Below are 14,729 nucleotides of genomic sequence, written 5' to 3' on the forward strand. Positions count from 1 at the left end.
AGTACCCCCGTGTCCCAGGAGCTTCTGGTCCCCAGAGGAGCTCAATTCTGCAACCCGTTTGTCTTCCCCATCCCTCTCATCCCTCCCACCCCTGTTCCCAGTGCTTTGCTCTTCCCATCACCAGTTCTTCCCAGTTACCCACTCGGCTTCCCTCTCCGGTCCTGGCTTTTACATTTCGATGATCCTTGCATATTCCATCCTTGTCCATGTCTTATCCTGGCTCATCATTATCATTTAAGATCTCTCTTGCCTTGTCCTGCAGCCCTTCCCTTCTTGTCCCGTGCCCAGCCCATCTGGGGACCGTCACTTCGTCCTTCTTCTTCCCAGTCCAAACTTCTTCCTCTCACCATCGAGGGGGTGGTGTTGATGGGGATGCTGGAAGTGAGAGGGAGGTGGGTGTGGGCAGCTCGTCCTCAATGTTTTCTGAAGTTTAGTCCCTTGACTCTACCCTCCTTTCCTCTGAGGAGTCTTATTGGTGTTTTGGTGCTAAGTCATTCCTGGGTGTTGTATGTGGAGATGGGAGTGACTCAGGGAAGCCTCTCAGCTCTCCCCTGACTGTCCAGCCACTCTGGGATCTGGATTTATTTAGGAAGCCCCGCCTATCCTCCTAGTGCCTGTTTTCCCCTCACTGTGGAATTGTTTCTGAGGATCCCTGCATCCAGCCGTCCTGGCCGTTGTCTTCCACTCAGGCATTTCTGGAGGTTGAGCGGGGGGCAAGGCCAAGGGATACTGCTGTCTTCAATTTTAACTTTTAAAGTTATCTCTGTGGACCTTTTTTGTTGGTTGGTTGTTTAAACAAGTGATGTGCCTTTTGTTTTTGTTATTCAAGGGCAAGATTTGTGAAATGGACAGTCCTAATAATGAGGGGGCTGGTGAGGGGGAGTTTCCTGGGAGATAATCCACCTTTGGTTGCAAATCAAATGATTTTAAGCCTAAGTATGGTTTCTGATTCGTGAATGTTAGTAATACCTCAGTAAAGATGTTATGAGCTGGCTTCCCCCAGGAGCTGAGGTAGGTTGGTGTAAGTGCAGGCCCTGAGGCCAGACATCCTGGGTTCAAATCTTGGCCCTGCCACATAAACCTGTGTTATTTAAGAGTAAGTTCTCGACCATTCTGGGAGTCCCAGCAAAATGAGGATACCTAGTAGTACCTATCTCCTAGGCTTGTAATGACTAAATAACATTCATCAGTTAAAGTGACTGGTACTGTGAATATCACGAGGTGCATTGTCAGAATCTCAGAGCTGCCTGCTGTTGTTTCTGCAAGAGCTCATGTGGGGTAGGAGTGGGGTTGTTTTTGCCTAGTTATGAGAGGAGGGCTGGGACTAGGCACTGTCTGAAAATCTTTTCCTTTTACTATGACCAAGGAGTCTTTGCCACAAGCTCACAGTTCTGGACCCTTTTCGTTTTACCTTTAGCACAAGAGACAATGAAATTGATAAGCCAATAGAAATTGATCAGTTTATCTTTCAAGGAGAAATAATATGAAAACTCTGGTGGCACGCGCCTGTAATCCCAGCTACTTGGGAGGCTGAGGCAGGAGAATCGCTTAAACCCCGGTGCCAGAGGTTGCAGTGAGCCAAGATCAAGCCACTGCACTCCAGCCTGGGCGACAGAACAAGACTTCGTCTCAAAACAAACAAACAAACAAAAAAACAAAAGAAAGAAAACTTTAAAATTTAATTAAAAAATCATTACGTCTGCTGGGTGTGATGGCTCACACCTGTAATCTCAGCACTTTGGGAGGCAGATGCAGGCTGTCACTTGAGATCAGGAGTTTGAGACCAGCCTGGCCAACATGGTGAAATCCCATCTCTACTAAAAATACAAAAACTAACAGGGCATAGTGGCAGGCGCCTGTAATCGCAGCTACTCGGGAGGCTGAGGGATGAGAATCTCTTGAACCCAGGAGGTGGACATTGCAGTGAGCGGTGATCATGCCACTGCACTCCAGCCTGGGCAACAGAGTGAGACTCAGTCTCCAAAAAAAAAAAAAAAAAAAAAAAATCGTTACATCTAAAGCCAAAGAGAAAAGGAAACCAACAAATGACTTTTTAGGAAAAAGCATTAAGGATGAAAACCTTCTTTTGGAAACATTGTAATTGAGGCAGAAAAAGTGGTCTGTGAAAATGGAAGGGGAAGTCCAACGATATATTTTGTTTCTTGAGAATGCAGTTGAAAGTGGGTTTCCCCACTTGTGGGGTGGGTAACTGGTACACGATAAAATAAAGTGGCATGGAAATATTTCCTCTTTCTTCTGTTCCCCACTTATAATATTTTGTTTATTTATTTATTTTATTTATGTTTTAGAGATGGAGTCACGCTCTGTCACCCAGGCTGGAGTGCAGTGGCAGGATCTTAGCTTACTGCAACCTTCGCCTCCTGGGTTCAAGCAATTCTTCTGCCTCAGGCTCCCAAGTAGCTGGGACTATAGACATGTACCACCATGCCCGGCTGAGTTTTGTATTTTTAGTAGAGATGGAGTTTCGCTGTGTTGGCCAGGCTGGTCTCGAACTCCTGGCTTCATGTGATCCACTTGTGAACTCCTGGCTTCATGTGATCCACTTGTGAACTCCTGGCTTCATATGATCCACCTGCCTCAGCCCCACAAAGTGCTGGGATTACAGGCATGAGCCACTGTGCTCCGGCCATAACATTTTATTTTATAGTGTATTTTAAAAACTCAGAATCTAAGTAAGGTTTAAACAGTGCACATTGGTTTGTGTTTTAAATCTTTTAGGTCTCTCCCTCACCTCCTGTTTATTTTATTTTTATTTTTTGGTATTTTCAGAGCCGTGTAAACATCACCATAGTTAATTTCACAACATTTTAATTACCTTAGAAAGAAACTTTGTACCCATTAGCAGTCATTCATCTTTCCCCCTCCCCTCAGACCCTGGGAACCACTCATCTACTTTCTGTCTCTGGATGTGCCTGTTGTGGGTATTTCATATAAATGAAATCATACAGTATGTGACCTCTCTTATCTGGCTTTTTTCACTCGGTATAATTTTCCTGAGGTTAAACCACATTACAGCATATATCTGTACTTCATTCCTTTTTGTGGCCACATTATATTCCTTTATGTGGATATCATATTTTGTTTATTCATGCATCAAAAATGGGCATTTGAGTTGTTTCTACTTTTTAGCTGTTCTGAATAATAATGCTGCTATGAACGTTCACGCACATGTTTTTGTGGGGGCAAGTCTCTTCATTTCTCTTGGGCATGTTTGTAAGAGTGGAATTGCAGGGTCATATGGTAACTGTTTAACCATTTGAGGAGCTGTGTCAGACTGTTTTCTAAAGTGGCTGCACCATTTTCAGTTCTCACCAGCAGCATATGAGGGTTCTGTTTCTCCACACCTTCCCCAAGAGTCTTTTTAATCATAGACATTCTAGTGAGTGTGAAGTGGTATTTCTTCGTAGTTTTGATTTGCATTTCCCTAGTGACTAGTGATGTTGAGCATCTTATCTTGTGCTTATTGACCAATTGTGTATCCTCCTTGGAGAAATGCCTCTTCAGATCCTTTGGCCATTTTAACATTCGGTGGTCTTTTTATTGCTGATCTATAAGAATCCTCTGTAATTTTTAGATACTAGTCCCTTATCAGGTTTATTGTTTACAAAAATTTTCTCCCCTTCCATGGTTTGTCTTTTCATTTTCATTTTCTTTTTTTTTTTTTGAGTTGGAGTCTTGCTCTATCACCCAGGCTGGAGTGCTGGAGTGCAGTGAGAAATCTCGTCTCACTGCAACCTCTGCCTCCCAGGTTCAAGTGATTCTCCTGCCTCAGCCTCTGGAGTAGCTGGGACTACAGGTGCACACCCCCACACCCAGCTAACTTTTTTGTTGTTTCAGTAGAGATGGGGTTTTGCCATGTTGACTGGGCTGGTCTCGAACTCCTGGCCTCAAGTGGTCCGCCTACCTCAGCCTCCCAAAGTGCTGGGATTACAGGCATGAGCCACCGCACCTGGCCAATTTTTGTATTATTAGTGTTGATGGGGTTTTACCATGCTGGCCAGCTGGTCTCCAGCTCCTGACCTCAATTGATCTGCCTGCCTCAGCCTCCCAAAGTGCTGGGATTACAAGCCTGAGCCACCATGCCTGGGCTCTTTTCACTTTCTTGGTGGTGTTTTTTGAAGCAGTCTTTTTTTAAACTACAGGCTGCCCTTTAATCTCTCTCCTTTTCCCCCTTGCATTTGTTGTTGAAGGAAACAGAGTTATTTATCCCAAGGATCCTTTGCAGGCCTCTGCTGATTGCATCCTTTTGGTGTGGCATAAAGTGTTTTTCAGTCTCTTGTATGTGCTATAAATTGGTAATTAGAGTCTGCTGTATTTTTGAGTTGAAAATATTTGAGTAGAGTCAGAGGAGAGATGGGTGCAAAGCTGAATACATTAAGTACAAATAACCAGGCAGTGGAATGGCGCTAGGTAATATATATATACAAGATAAATGGGTATCATGAGGCCAGAAACAACTAAGATGACCATTAATTGGGGAGTAGGTAAACCTAGTGTGCTGTGGACACCTGACGGAAAGCCTCAGAAATGTTAAAAGGATTGATACGGATTCATACACATCACCGTGGCTGCATCTCAACGTTAATGTTCTGTAAGAAAAGCAGGGTGGGTCTGGCGTGATTGCTCACGCCTGTAATCTGAGCCCTTTGGGAGGCCCAGTTGGGAGGATTGCTTGAGTCCAGGAGTTTGAGACCAGCCTGGGCAACATAACGAGATCTCATCTCAATTAAAAAAAAAAAAAAGCAGGGTGTAGAATTATACCTAAAATATATACCTTGATGCAAATTAAAACATACTGAAGACAATATTTATGGATTCATATATGTATGTAGACCTAAAAAGATTATCAGGAAGAAAGATGCCTGCCAGACATGTGTGGGTGGTTATTGTAGGGTGGTGGTCACAATTTGTTTATTTTTCTTTAAAGAACCCAGTAGATAGGAATACTTGATTGCCCACCTCTTCAGACTATGTAAGGAATGCTGATTTTCAGATATGTGTTTGTTGTTACTGGGAAAGTAGAACTCGTAGAGCCAGAAAGTCATTATACTCAAGTTTTGTCTTTTGTAAGTCTTCATCCTTAAGTTCCTGGATGCTCCTTTCCATCAGTTTTTTTTTTTTTTTTTTTGTTTTGAGATGGAGTCTTGCTCTGTCACCCAGGCTGGAGTGCAGTGATGCGATCTCGGCTCACTGCCAGCTCTGCCTCCTGGGTTCAGGCCATTCTCCTGCCTCAGCCTCCCGAGTAGCTGGGACTACAGGCGCTTGCAACCACGCCCAGCTAATTTTTTGTATTTTTAGTAGAGATGGGGTTTCACCATGTTAGCCAGGACGGTCTCGATCTCCTGACCTCGTGAACCACCTGCCTCGGCCTCCCAAAGTGCTGGGATCACAGGCGTGAGCCACCGTGCCCGGTCTCCATCAGTAAAGGAGACACTGAGATTCCTGTTTCAAGGGTGAGGAAAGCCAGGCCCATAGTGATCAAACAATTTGTGTAACAGATGAGCTCTAAGATTCATCATATATCAGAGTTTTGGGCTTAATGGGTAATTTACTGCTGTTTCTTGCCTGACGTTAATGTATATTTTGGCAGCTTTTTATTAAAAAAAATTTTTTTTAATTAACGAATATTTTTTTGAGACAGATTCTCACTGTGTTGTCCAGGCTGGAGTGCAGTGCCACTATCTTGGCTCACTGCAACCTCTGCCTCCTGGGCTCCAGTGATTCTCTTGCCTCAGCCTCCTGAGTAGCTGGGATTACGGGCGTGCACCACCACGCCTGGCTAATTTTTTGTATTTTTAGCAGAGATGGGTTTTGCCATGTTGTGCAGGCTGATCTCAAAATTCTGAGCTCAGGTGATCCACCTGCCTTGGCCTCCCAAAGTGCTAGGATTACAGGTGTGAGCCACTGCGCCTGGGTTACAATTTTTTTTTTTTTTTTTTTTTTGTAGAGATTGGGTCTTACTACGTTACCCAGGTTTATCTGGTACTCCTGGCCTTAAGCCATCCTGTCTCAACCTTCCAAAGTGCTGAGATTATAGTTGTGAGCCACTGTGCCCAGCTGCTTTTTCTTAGTTTTCTGGAATGTTGAAGGTCACAGTTTTCTCCTCGGCACTGACTGGGCCCTCTCTGACAGTAGCTTGTACTTAGAATAAATAATCAGCTGAAATGAATGAATGAATGAAAAAAGAATATTTGTGGTTTTCATTCAAAGTAGAAAAGTGATGCTATCAACATTTTTTCCCCCTTGTGAAGGCACTGGATTGATCTATGATGGTGGAATGCAAGAAGTACATGTTCTACCATCAGCAAACAGTTGACCCCCACCTCTGCTAGCAACTGGCGATGGACTAGGTCCTACTGATGTTGGCTATCTTGCCTCCTGGTTGCTTGACTCCAGGTAACTGATAGGAACTCAAATGCTTAGAGCTCTTAAAATTTGGAACTAAAATCCAAGATTTTATAGATTTCTCCAAATTGTGGCAATGTGAGCATATTTCCAGATAAAGCACCTTCCATCTGCCACTGTCTTGTCTATACATAGGCCGTATATTTGCAGTGGGGGTGATATCACCCCCAAGGGGGTGAACACTGGTTCTCAGGAGAGAAAAAAAACTTACTTGGATGTATAAAGCACAGATAGGCATATAGTACATAAACAGATGTACATTGTATCTGTGGTATTACTTTTTCATGGAGGGGATGATTAGCAAAAAAGTGTCTAAAAAGTGTCCTTAGGGGGAAAGAATGAAAAAGATTGAGCTGGACACAGTGGCTCACACCTGTAATTCCAGCACTTTAGGAGGCTAAGGTGGGAGGATCGCTTGAGCCCAGGAGTTTGAGACCAGCCTGGGCAACATAGTGGGACCCGTCTGCCGGTCTTTGTACACACACACACAAATTAGCTGGATGTAGTGGTGCATGCCCATGGTCCTAGCCACTCGAGAGGCTGGGCTGACGTGGGAGGATCACTTGAGCCTGGGAGGTTGAGGCTACAGTGAGCCATGAAAGTACCATTGCACTCCAGCCTGGGTGACAGAGCCAGACCCCTCAGACCCTGTCTCAAAAAAAAAAAAAGAAAAGATTGAGACTGATATAGGCTGCAGTAATTGTATTATTATCATACAACTTTGCATCTTGCTTTCACCATTAACATTTCAGGACAAAACTTTACCACATTGCTCCATGGGCTCACTATTGATCACTTTTATGGAATGTACAGTCCATCATTCATCATTTTGCATGTAGTACAACTTTTAACTATTGATTCTAGTTGTAGAAACTTAGCCTATCTTCCTCTCTCCCTCTCCTCCCTCTCTCCCTCTCTCTCTCCCTTCCTCCCTTTCCTCTCTTTTTCTTTTGAGACAGGGTTTTGCTCTGTTGCCCAGGCTGGAATGCAGTGGTGATACAATTATAGCTCACTGCAGCCTTGATCTCCTGGGCTCAAATGACCCTCCCACCTCAGCCTCCTGAGTAGCTAGGACTAAAGGTGCGCCACCACACCCGTCTAACTTTTTCATTTGGTGTAGAGACAGGGTCTCAGTATATTGCCCGAGCTGGTCTTGAACTCCAGACCTCAAGTGATCCTCCTGCTTCAGCCTCCCAAAGTGCCAGGATTACAGGTGTGAACCACTGTACCTGGCTTTCCTTCTTTCTTTTTTGTTTCTGTTATAAGTAATGATGCAGTGAACATTTTTTTTTCAAGGTAGTTTTCCATCCCTTAGATTATGTCTGTAGGGAGATTTTCCAAAAGTAGCATTAACATCGAAGAGTTTATCACTTTTGATTCCTTTTTTTTTTGGCCTATAATTAAACTCAGTTGAATTGATTTGATTTTTTCCAAAGTGGTTGCACTAGTTTCAATGCTGCTAGTAAGAATAAGGGCTCTGGTGGAAGCAGAGGTTGGCCAGAAATTTGGGGTTCAACATTCAGCAAACATTGGATGATAGTTTGGTGCATCCTCTATCACTTATCAAAAGGTTGTTACCACTGGGGTCTGTTGAAGCAAAAGGATGTTGTTGGGACCGTGCTGAGTGTGTTAGCCAGGGCTCTTTTCAGTGGAATGTGGCAGAAGCTGATGAAACTGATTTCAACAGCATGGGAATATATGGTGTCTTGTAATGGAAAAGTCTAGACATAGGGCTGGCTTCAAGCTTAGCTGGATCCACGTGTTAAAGGACTATCAGGATTATCTTTCTGTCTGGCTGTCAACTCGTCTTTTCTCTCTGTTGGCTTCACCCACAGGCAGCCGCTCCTCCATGGAGCGGGCTGGCCATGTGGTCATCCTGCAACCCATCACTGTGATTTTGGTTGGCCAGGTCTGGACCATAAGTCTAGTCTGGAGCCTGTGGCTGGGAGTCCATCCTACTAAATTGTCTGGATGGAGGATGAACTTCAGGGGAAGGGCTGCTGTAATTTTGGATGGGGTGGTTAGGAATGTGATGTGGCAGCAGAGGCTTCCTGAGGCAGGTGGCTCCTAGGTTTTCTTCCTGAGCAGCTGAAAGGGGTTGGAATTGCCTTATCTTTTTTTTTTTTTTTTTGAGATAGAGTCTTGCTCTGTCACCCAGGCTGGACTGTAGTGGCGTGATCTTGGCTCACTGCAACCTCTGTCTCCCATGTTCAAGTGATTCTCCCGCCTCGAGCGCCACCATGCCTGGCTCATTATTGTATTTTTCGTAGAGATGGGGTTTCACCATGTTGGCTAGACTGGTCTCGAACTCCTGACCTCAGGTGATTCACTGACCTCGGGCTCCCAGCGTGCTGGGATGACAGGTGTGAGACACTGTACCTGACCAGAATTGCCTTTTCCTGAGGTGGGAGAGCCAGTAGGGGAGCAGGTTAGGTGGGGGCTGAGCAGTTTGAATCCTGCAAGGGGAGTGAGGACTCTTTTCCTTGCCCTGACTTTTTGCTGTCCGGGAGCCCTTCAGAGACCTGGCACTAGTGTTTCCTCTGCTCACCCAGGCAGTACCCCGCTTCCTCCGAGGAGGGAAACTTGCCCACTCCATCTCATTTTTCTTCGCTTGCATCTGTGTTTCTTGGAATCTGCTCTTTCCTCCTACAACTTAAAAAAAAAAAAAAAAAGCGAAAACCCAAAATGACATTAAAAACTATTGTGAAAACAGAATATACCTTTAAATATACATTCCTGGCACATTTAATATTTAAATTTGTAGGTATTCCTCTTCTGCCTTTGTTCAAAGCATACACTATATATGCATTTTGCATAATTGCATTGTATCTCCGTTTGAGCGTTTCTGCTTACATGATAGCACTTATCCACGTTCCTTCTCTTCACGATTCTTTGAAAAGGCAGCATAGCATTCCACCAAATTGATGTACCGCAGCTATTTAACCTCTCTCCCATTGCAAAAGACAGTCAATTCCATTTATGGTGTTCTAGGATAGGATTGGTAGGCGTTTCCTGTGAAGGGCCAGATAGTAAATATTTTCTACTTTGTGGGCCATCTGGTCTCAGCCTCAAGTATTCATTTCTGCTGTCGTAGTTTGAAGGCAGCCACAGACCATGGGTAAGTGAAAGGACGTGGCTGTGTTCCAATAAAACTTTATTTAGAAAAAGTCAGCAGCTGGATTTGGCTCGGGGGCTATAGTTGACTGACCCCTACACTAGGACACTGCAATACAAATCTTCGTGCCCATTGATGCTCAGGAAGTCATTGTGTTATTACGGAAAAGCTTCGGATACAGACAAGTTCTGGATTTAACTCCCTATTGAAGAAGTTGGGCAGTTTTTTGTTTTCTGTCTTATTTTTTTGAGACAAGGTCTCACTCTGTCACCCAGGCTGGAGTGCAGTGGTGCAGTCATAGCTCACTGCAGCCTCAACCTCCTGGGCTCAAGTGATCCTTCCTCCTCAGCTCCCCAGGAGGCTGGGACTACAGGTGTGTGCCACCATACCTGGCTAATTTTTTTTTTTAAATTTTCATAGAGACGAGGCCTTACTATGTTGCCTAGGGTGGTCTTGAAGTCCTGAGCCCAAGCAGCCCTCCCACCTTGGTGTCCCAAAGTGCTGGAGTTACAAGCGTGAGCCACTGCACCCGGCCTGGGCAGATTTTTGAACTTCTCTGACTTTTACTCTTTTTTTTTTTTTTTTTTGAGACAGAGTCTCACTCTGTCACCCAGGCTGGAGTGCAGCGGTGTGATCACTGCAACCTCCACCTCCTGGGTTCGAGTAATTCTCCTGCCTTAGACTCCCGAGTAGCTGGGACTACAGGTGCGTGCCACCACGCCCAGCTAATTTTTGTATTATTAGTAAAGACGGGGTTTCACCATGTTGGCCAGGCTGGTCTTAAACTCCTGGCCTTGTGATCTGTCTGTCTTGGCTTCCCAAAGTGCTGGGATTACAGGCGTGAGCCAGCATGCCTGATTCTGACTCTTACTCTTAATTCCCTTTTCAGAAAATGGAAATTAAAGCAAGTAATGAATGTATAGTGCGTTTCTCAGGACCTGGAACATAGAGGACCAGGTGAAATTGTTATTTGTATCTTTTCTCATTTCCCCTGTTCCTTTTTAGCTTAATTTCCAAGGTGTGAAAAGGGATTTTGATTTATTTTTGTAGCTTTTGATATGCATTGCCACATCGCTTTTCAGAACTTACTGCACCCATAGATTGTTACCAGTGGTGTGTACTTGATTTATCATAGCTTTACCAGCATTGGGGAATTTCACTTTAAATGTTTCTTGGAGGCTGGGTACGGTGGCTCATGCCTGTAATCCCAGCACTTTGGGAGGCTGAGGCAGGTGGATCACCTGAGGTCAGGAGTTTGAGACCAGCCTGAACAACATGGTGAAACCACACCTCTACTAAAAATACAAAAATTAGCTGGGTGTGGTGGCGGGTGCCTGTAATCCCAGCTACTCAGGAGGCTGAGGCAGGAGAATCACTTGAACCCGGGAGGCAGAGATTGCAGTGAGCCAAGATCATGCCACTGCACTCCAGCCTGGGCGACAGAGTGCGACTCCATCTCAAAAAAAAAAAAAAAAAGTTTATTGGTTAATTTGTAGTTACATAATGGTGCCATGTGGTAGTTATTAATAGGCATATAATTTGCATTTCTCCAACCAGGAGGGAAGATATTCTTTCTTTTTTGAGATAGGATTTTGCTGTGTCACTCAGGTTGGAGTGCAATGGTGTCATCAGTGCTCACTGCAGCCTTGACCTATAGGCTCAAGTGATCCTCACACCTCAGCCTCCCTCATAGCTTGGACTACAGGTGTGTGCCACCACACACGGCTAATTTTTAAAAAACTTTTTGTAGGGACGGGGTGTCACTGTATTGCCCAGGCTGGTCTCAAACTCCTAGGCTCAAGCAATTCCCTTGTCTCTACCTCCCAAAATGCCAAGACTACGGGTGTGAGCCACCATGCTTGGCCTATTGTCTCTTTAAAGTTTTTGTACATTGCCATGCTAGTGTTTTTTTTTTATTTTGTTTTCTACAGCAAGAACTGGTGAACTGGGTTGGCCTCCTGTTTTGCAAATAAAGTTTTATTGGAACAAAGCCATTTCTATTCAATTACTGTTATCTATGGTTGCTTTCAGGCTGCAATGGCAGAATTGAGTAACTGTGACAGAGAGTGTATGGCCTGCAAAGCCTAAAATATTTACTGTTTTGCTCTTTACAGGAAATACTTGCCAATCCCTGCTCTAGAGTAATTTTTTTTTTTGAGATGGAGTCACACTCTGTCGCCCAGGCTGGAGTGTAGTGGTGTAATCTCAGCTTATTGCAACCTTAACCCCTTTGGGTTCAAGCGATTTTCCTGCCTCAGCCTCTCAGTAGCTGGGATTACGGGTGGGTGCCATCATGCCTGGCTAATTTTTGTATTTTCGGTAGAAACGGGGTTTCACCATGTTGTTCAGGCTGGTCTTGAACTCCTGACCTCAAGTGATCTGCCTGCCTTGGCCTCCCAAAGTGCTGGGATTACAGACGTGAGCCATGATGCCCGGCCTGCTCTAGAGTAAATTGATGGTCCCCATTCTTTGCTCATTTATTTTGTCTTTGATCTTAGACACCATAAGCCCACATGGATGGCCCGAGCCCATCTGTCTGCATGCAGAGCCTGTCTCTTTCCATTGTGTGCTGGCAGACAGTCTGTCCTTTTGTCCTGGGCCAGCTGTGCCACTTCACCCTACAATACTGGGAGACAGCGCCCTGACTTTGGGGGAGAACGATTGTCCATTTTATCTGTGCGTATGCTAAGTCTAGAGCAGATAAAACCACCACCGCACTCTGCCCATGACAGGAATGAGGCAGCCGTTGTGCCCTGGCCAGTTCTGGTCCTTTTTATTTAAAGTAGCAACTTGGGGAGCCACAGAAGTGAGCTGCACCAGAATCTAGATTCAACAACTGTTGAGTTCCTTCTGTGATGGGAGAGAGTTCGTGAGGCTTCTGTCTATGTCCGAGAGCTCACAATGCATAATCCCTCCCACGATGGGGATTACATCAGCGCTATGGCAGGACTGCAGGGCCATGGGAGCACTGTGTAGAGGGACAGCAGTGTGTCCCTTGGGGGACCCTCTGCAGGAAGGCTTCTCTGAGAAGGGAACGTTTGAGTCAGCCATCGGGAGGCTGTTTTTTCTTTGGCAGCACTTTGATGATGTAGCCCTTTTTCTGTGCTAAGATTGAGCCATTCAAGGAGTGAGCCTGGTTTTGTGGAGGTTGAAGTGTACAAGGTTTGGGGTAAAATGTCAGGTCTGTCACCTCTGAGCTGTTCCTTGGGTAAATGATCAATGTCTCCAAGTCTCAGTTCCTTTGTTTGTTTCACCAGGGCGGCCAGCCCCCACCTTCCAGGTAGATGTGAGGGTTAAACGTATGTCTCAGTATGGCGGATTGGTGGCGGGCCTGGCCCCAGGTGTGTTGTGTTTGTTTCATGTCGAGTTGGCTGGAACATTGTTCTCACAAGAGTATAATTAGGTGCCAACTAACTGACATAAAAAAGCTGGGTTTTCAGCCTCTCTTGAAAAACCAGGAGATGGGGCAATTGCTGGTATTGCTGTGAGGTACTGTCTGCTAGAGCTGGCTAGCAGCTGCCATCTTGAGAGGGGCACCTGCTCTGTTCTTGCAATCTGTGCCTTGCCAGCCCAACCCGCTCATTTCCATGCCTCACCTGACCCCTTGGGCACTGCGGGGGTCCCTCCTGGTCTTGTATGTGCCCCGGGCATATATTGGGCAGCCCTTTCTGCCCCCCTCCTCCTTTGCTTCTGCTTTCTTTCAGTTTCTTTATTTGGAATGGTTGTGGATTTTGGGGGGTGGGATGGGAGTTAAACAATAGCAGCAACACTAAAGTCATCATTGGGCTGGTAGCGCCGGGCATCCCAGATGCCCGCCAGTGTAACTGAGAATGAATTCTGCAGTGACAACAGGTTGATGATGTCCTTGTTCCCTGCAAGACTCTGTATGTGGGGCCTTGGTTAGAGGGCAAGGGAAGATGGGAGCATGATTATGATGCGGGCCTGGTCTACAGCCTGCTGGGGAACTCTCACGTTTAACCATCTAACCGCACGGTGGCTGTAAGGTCTACAAACTCCGACACTATTGTTTTAATTTTTAACCTGCCAGCCTTCATTATTTCTGCCAGGGCAGTGGGCTGTTAAATCCAGCCCAAGACCTGTTCGTTACATATTATCTATGGCTGTTGTTCACACTGCAGTGGCAGAGTTGGGTAGTGACAGCAACCCTTTGGCCCACAAAGCCTAAAATATTGACTGCGGGACTCTTTCCAGAGAAAGTTTGCTGACCCCCATTCTAGGGTATGCTAAAGGTGTAGGTTCAGTGAAAATCAGAAACAAATCATGTGAGGCAGCCCGCCACAGATGCACACGCAGGGCTTAGAGAAATGCTGTGTTCATTGCAGTTTTGCAGGGCACATTGGATGAATCACATAACATCATTGTGTGTATCCTGTAATACTAGTAAGTCATTTATTGTGTATTCATCTGCCCTTCCCGATGCTCTAGCCACTGCATAGATAATTCAGTGCAGGGTAAAGGAAATGAGAGCAAAAGGGCCAGAGCTAGGAACAGCAACTGAGGCAGGGGTGGCTGTCACAGAGGGCCTTTGCCGTGAGACTTGCCGTCTCATGAAGGAAGAGCCATGCCAGGCAGGGGGAGACAGGGGTGCAGGAGGGGCCCGTGGAAGCAAGGCATGGTTTCTATTACATTTATTCATTTTATTTTATAAAAATATAAATATATGTAAATTTATTTATTTATTTTTTATTTCATTTTATTTTATTTTGAGATGGAGTCTCACTCTGTCGCCCAGGCTGGAGTGCAGCGGTGTGATCTCGGCTCACTGCAACCTCCGCCTCCCAGGTTCAAGTGATTCTCCTGCCTCAGCCTCCCAATTAGCTGAGATTACAGGTGCATGCCACCACCTGAGGCTAATCTTTTTTTTTTTTTTTTTTTTCCAGTAGAGATGGGGTTTCACACGTTGGCCAGGCTGGTCTCAAACTCCTGACCTCAAGTGATCCACCCACTTTGGCCTCCCAAAGTGCTGGGATTACAGGCATGAGCCACCTCACCCAGCTGGGAGTAGCTTTTCTATTGTGTGATTCAATATGGGGACTGGGTTCTCCATGCAGTTGCCTTGTCTAGCCCTTGGGAGAATCCTACTGTAGTTGTTCCTTAGAATAGGAACATTTTCTCAGCCAACATCTACCTGTTGCAGTCCTTCTCATAAAAATATTGGGCCAAGAGT

The 14,729-nt window shown here is 45.4% G+C and overlaps 1 protein-coding gene across 19 annotated transcripts in view; it reads left to right on the forward strand.

The window, feature by feature from the left end:
* The window catches only part of SNX29 (sorting nexin 29), a 597,554-nt gene that overhangs the window by 560 nt on the left and 582,265 nt on the right, over positions 1-14,729 (forward strand). For 3 of the 19 annotated variants that reach the window (XR_001752024.3, XM_011522738.4, XM_047434879.1), the window contains exon 1: positions 6,103-6,417. The exons of 7 other annotated variants lie outside the window; for them this stretch is intronic. Coding sequence is in view for 11 of the 12 variants with exons in the window: in XM_011522738.4 (XP_011521040.1) it covers positions 6,381-6,417 (37 nt within the window). In the remaining variant the exon portion in view is untranslated. Of the gene's footprint in view, positions 1-6,102; positions 6,418-14,729 lie in introns of those variants that run through there. 9 more of the 19 variants (XM_011522741.4, XM_047434882.1, XM_047434880.1 and 6 more) reach the window with 8 other exon arrangements.

This window comes from Homo sapiens, chromosome 16 (genome assembly GCF_000001405.40).
Source record: "Homo sapiens chromosome 16, GRCh38.p14 Primary Assembly".
NCBI lineage: Eukaryota > Metazoa > Chordata > Mammalia > Primates > Hominidae > Homo > Homo sapiens.